This window comes from Homo sapiens, chromosome 3 (assembly GCF_000001405.40).
Source record: "Homo sapiens chromosome 3, GRCh38.p14 Primary Assembly".
In the NCBI taxonomy this organism is placed as follows: domain Eukaryota; kingdom Metazoa; phylum Chordata; class Mammalia; order Primates; family Hominidae; genus Homo; species Homo sapiens.
In genome coordinates this window covers 190,660,081-190,666,107 of record NC_000003.12, presented here as the reverse complement: position 1 = coordinate 190,666,107, position 6,027 = coordinate 190,660,081, and positions in this window count along the sequence as shown.

The window sequence follows — 6,027 nt, the reverse complement described above, 5'->3', positions numbered from 1 at the left end:
CTTGAATTATATTGATGGATAACTATGTCATATGCCTTGCTTGAGGTCCCATAAGAAAGGAATTATAAGTTGGATTAGAACTCAGGTCTCTTAACTCCTGAGATGTCACTGTTTATACACTAATTTCAAAACCAGCCCCTATTTATTTATTTATGTATTTATTTTTGGTATAATGAAATATATGGACATATATTACAATAGGAAGCTTGCTACAGTTTGTGTGAGTAAGAGATAAGGGCATAAAGCTGTTCAGAAGACAAAAGGTAACATTTCTTTTCATTCTAATTTACAAACTAGTTACCTTGGACCTTGAGATTCAAATTGGTTTAGAAAAATTGGAAGCACCAGAGTTAAACTATGAATAGATCTCCTGTAAACTTAATATATTTCCTCAGAGTTACTTGTTTCAGAGAGTGACAGAAAACAGATAAGGAAAAACAGAAGTTAGCTATTTAGCTTTACAAGTAAGAAATGCATGTAACAAGAGCTAGGTCTAACAGACAGGGGTATTTATGATTCCTTTCAGAAGCCTCTCACCTTTTAAATATTCTTCCCAGTATTACTCGATGCTGGTGCTGGTGTGTGTGTGTATATGGTGAGGGGAGGAGGTTATTTAAGCATTACTCAGTAAGTAAAAACTATATAGAATTATAACATCCTACAGAATTCCCAGTGCAACCCCATCCATTTGGGAGACTCAAAAGCCTGATGTACAGAGAGGAGAAATCACTCAATTATTAATAGATAACCATTTCAGTTCAGAGGTAAGACAAGAAACTGTATTTTTTTTTCAGATAAAGCAATTACCTTTCTTTGAAAGCTCATGCTTACTTTTGCAGTGGCTGCTTTTTAGAGTAAAACCGTTTTCAATCTCTCTAGAGATGAACCCATGATAAAAGTTCTATTTCGGTACACAGACCCCAGACCAGAACATGGCTAACAAGCCCCATCCGCCCTATCCTTCTCCAGCTTCAAGAGACCGCCTTTTATCTACAGCAGAGCAAAGGAGAGAGGAATTGAGAGAAACAGAGGAATGCCAGAAGTTTAGAGTATATAACTTCCCCCATTCTGTAGTCTTTCAACAGGCAAAAGAAATGACCTAATCAGAACGAAACAGCTCTCATTTCAGTTGTGGTACCACTGCAGGCAGTTGATTATCATGTTAAGAATGAAGTGAGGAACGGTAAGGGCCAGGTCCACTTTTCTGGACCTCAATTTATTCAACTGGAAAATAAATGTTTGTGTATGCTACTGAAGTGACTTTCAAACGTGTTAACACGTTCTTTGATGTTCCTCCATCCAAGAGGTGGAGCTGAATTCCCCAGCTCTTGAGAATGGCTTGGACTTAGAGAACCATTTCTAACAAATAGAATACTGCAGAAGTAATGATATATCACTTTTGAGGCTGGGTCATAAAAAGCATTTTGGCCTTGCCCTCTTGGCTCACTTGCTCTGGGGTAAGCCAGCTGATGTGTTATGTGGATACTAAAGCATCCCAATAAGGGAGGTTCATATGGCAAGCAACTGAGACTTCCTACCAGCTTCCATGTACCTGCCCTTGGAAGTGGAGCTGTCAGATGACCACAGCCCTGACCAACAATTTGACAGCCTCTTCAATTAGTAACTGAGGAAGAGCCATCCAGCTAAGCGTCTCCCAAATTTCTGATCCATATATACTGTGGGGTAATAAATATCTGCTGTTTTAAGCTTCTAAAGGGCAATTTATCAATAGCAATATGGAATAAATACAGCCCTTTTCATACTTCTTATTTTTCAGAGACTGTTTTTTTTGTAGTCTCCAACCCTTAGAGTAATATGAAACTATACTAAATCTTTCACACCTAAATTTTTAGTTGTGAAAGATTGGACCATGTGCTCTGAAAAGTAGTCCAGCATTTAATGGGTTAAGGAATTTCTCTAAGACCTCTTCATTTCCTCCACATTTCTCTTATAATAACTAACAACAATATAATACCACTACCAAGCATGTGCTTTACACGTTTTTGAGATTAACATTTATTACATAAGTTTACCCTTACAACAATCCAATGAGGTAGATATTATATTATTCCCATTTTATATATGAGGAAACTAAGAACTTGAGAGCAAAAGTATGCTATTGAAAGTCACACAGTCAGTACAACTAGTATTCCAATTCATACCTTCTGACTCCAATTTAATATATCAAGAGCATAATAGAAATGACCAATCAACTTTATTCCCTGACACTCACTGCACATTATAGCTATAATGGCCTGATATTAGAAAGTTTTTACACATCTCGCTGCCCCGTTACATTACTGATATTTGTAAATGAGTGAAAAACATTTTTCTATTCTCCCTTTTTTTTTTTTTTTGAAATGGAGTTTCGCTCTTGTCGCCCAGGTGTGCAGTGGCGCGATCTTGGCTCAGTGCAACCTCTGCCCCCCAGGTTCAAGCGATTCTCCTGCCTCAGCCTCCCGAGTAGCTGGGATTACAGGCACCCACCACCACGCCCAGCTAATTTTTGTATTTTTGGTAGGGATAGGGTTTCACCATGTTGGCCAGGCTGGTCTCGAACTCCTGACCTCAGTTGATCCACCTGCCTTGACCTCCCAAAGTGCTGGGATTACAGGTGTGAGCCACCGAGCCCGACCCCTTTTCTCTTTTGGTTGTTCTTATAAGTCATTTGTCTTTGCCCAAAACCATTTCATCATAAACACTTTGTCTTGTTTAAGATAACTGATGATATGGATGTCATACATACTGGAGTTATGGCCTCCTTTGGCTACCCAATTCAGTCACTACACTGATTATTTCTCTCATTTTATTATCTTTATTTTGTGTTCTCATATTTTATGTAATTTCATAGTAAGATATGAAAATAAATGATTCAATTCCAATATCTGGCAATGAGTTTTAAGTTTTGAATATTAAGAAGGATTATTTACAATATTAGGAGTTCTTTTGCCTTTTAAATATATATTTATAATATAACATCATTTATTTCTCATTGAAACATATGCAAACTTAAGACAGTTATCCTATATCAGAGCACATATCTAGATCAATATGGGAGATTTAGTAGACTGAGATGGACCCGAGGTATGTGTAATTTTTTAAAAGATGAAATTAAATTCTAGGTAAGAACCACTTGCCCAAGTTACTTCAAAACACAATGCCAAATGCTAAATTAATTGCAAGCATATGACACAGTTTTTGACAATAGAAAATTAATAAGTTATATATGTCTTTGAGTCTTAAATATACATTAGATTTTTTTCTTTTTAAAAAAATAAAGCAATGAAGTATTAAAATTCCAATTACCTGGGTGAGTTAAGTTAAAAACAGCTCATGATCTGATTTCAAAGTTTAGTTTGAATCTTTCTTCTTTCTTCCAATAAGCTCATTTCAAAGAGTCATTTTTTTCATTTAAATATTTTGAAATGATTAAACTGTTCAAGAGAGAAACTTTGTGAATTATTTTCTAAGGGATTTTGAATGTGTCAGTAATCTCCTTGCTACACTAAGAAATAATAGTTTTTTTTGTTCAACATTATAACTTAGTAACATAGACCAAGACTTATTAAGCACAAATCTTTGCCAAACCAAAGAGAGCCCTTCTTCATGATCGAATGATTCCATACACATTGGAGAAGTCATATAAAAATTCAAATCTTTAATACAAGCAGAGAATCCAAATGTAGAGAGAGCAGATGCACACACTTCATAATACACCAGTTTTTGTCTCTTCCTTCACTTGAGCTTTAGCATGTTCATTTTGAATCCCCTGTTTAGCTCTTCAGATAGATGGATCAAGGGATGCTTTCTAATGACTGTGTTACATGCTCTGCTGTGTTCTAGATGTCTTCACTTCTTCTGAGGCTCCTTTGATATCCAAAATGAAATGGCTCATTTACAGATAGTTTGAGCATCACATTCTTAGGGAACTAGCTAAAGCTACTGAATGGAAGGTAACCAAATACAGTAACTTTCAAATTTTTAAGCATGCTTTCTCTTAGCCAGAAGCTATGGTTATTATTATGCATTCCTTCAACAACTTTTCTTTGGGGAACACTTACAAACAAGGTGTACTTTTCTGCATGCTGTTTTATCTTGATACTTTGGCAAACTGAGGTGGAGTACTGGTAGCAAAGTCCCTTTTTTTTTTTTTCATTAGCAAAGTATGTGACATATCTCAGTTTGAAGATTTCTTACCTCTTCAGGCTTCCGTAATATGTTATTCTCATCATATTTGTAGACAAAGATGGTGGTATGTGTTCACCAAGTTCATTTCATTTTTCTCTTTCGAGACATAGGAAGACTATATTTTCTAGCCTTTTTTATGATTACAGCAGGACCTCAGAGCTAGTTCTGGCTAATGAATTGTAAGTGAAAGTAATGAGTGTCACATTTCAGCTAAAGCATAGCACAACAGGAAGCCACACATTTCAGATGGCAAAGCATAAAAAAAGTAAGCTCTGGGCCGGGTGCGGTGGCTCACGCCTGTAATCCCAGCACTTTGGGAGGCCGAGGCAGGCAGATCATGAGGTTAAGAGATCGAGACCATCCTGGCCAACATGGTGAAACCCCGTCTCTACTAAAAATACAAAAAATTATCTGGGTGTGGTGACGCGCACCTGTAGTCCCAGCTACTCGGGAGGCTGAGGCAGGAGGATCACTTGAACCCGAGAGGTGGAGGTTGCAGTGAGGTAAGATCACGCCACTGCACTCCAGCCTGGCAACAGAGTGAGACTCCGTCTCAAAAAAAAAAAAAAAATGTAAGCTCCTATGCTGGACGTGTAGCATAAACAAGAAATAGGTCTTGTTATATGAAGCTACTGAAATATTGGGGTTCTTTGTTAGCATGGCATAGCATATCTTATTCTGGTTAATACATATGATGACTACAGCGATCCCACCAGGTTCCAAATATCACTGATTGATATTTCATATATTATAAATACATTCTACTAATCATCTATTCAACTGTTTCCTTGTGCTGAGGCAACTTCGAGGGCTAAACATGCCCTACGTTTTCATCTATTGCCTGCAAACACCTTGTTAAGAGGATGATTTGTAGTCCTTGGCTGGAGAAAATCAGAGCCTACAAGGGTAAAAGAGGAGTTAAAGAGAGATAAAAATTAATGGTTCTTGTTTTTTTGTGTGCATTAGAATCACCTGGGAAAGTTATTCCACGTGCAGATCCGCCCTACATCAGGGATCCTCATTTAGTTAATCTTGGATGGAGTCAAATAACATGCATCTTAATATGAGCCCCAAATGGTTCCAATGTGGATACATTAAGGAATACATATCAAGAAGGCTTGGGCAAGCTCCTAATTGCGGCTCTTTTCCCTTACAACCTGAGCAATAATACAAAAAATATGGAAAGAGTTTGAAAGAGTTCTCATAGGTAGCAGTTTTTCAACATTGACCTATGAAATGCTCTATTTAATTATCAAGGACACAATATAAAAATACAGACTTCTAGACAATGTCCAGCACCTAATGAATTGGTCTCTCTGGGGAAGGGCCTGCCCTGGGACCTTCACTGTAACATGTCCCTCAAGTTACGTGCACGGAAGTTAGATGCACGAAAGTTTTAAACCAATGCCATATAAATTGCTTATCCTTCTGTGCATATCTTTATGATTAGTTCAATTTATTATTCATGACTTTTTCTGAACCAAAACATTAGTTTTCCCAGCCCCTTCAAATCTTCAATCTGGGAGTGAATACATTGTTACTAGAGTTCTTAATAGTTACAGGAGAAGGTAACTCTGAAATTCAGTTTTTATCGAGCTGCCAAAGAAAATTTGTTTTTCAAGGTAAATGGTGAATATATTTTTATTTTCCACCAAGAAAAATTCAAATAATTTATTTTGAAGGCAAAAAATATAGCATTATCATAGAGTCTAGAGGACATTAAAAAAATTCTATCTTTTAAATGCTTTAAGAAAGTTTATAATATTTTAAAATTAAGCCATGTAAAATAATAATATGACAAGGTCAGATGACATATCAGACCCTTAATATAACATTTAA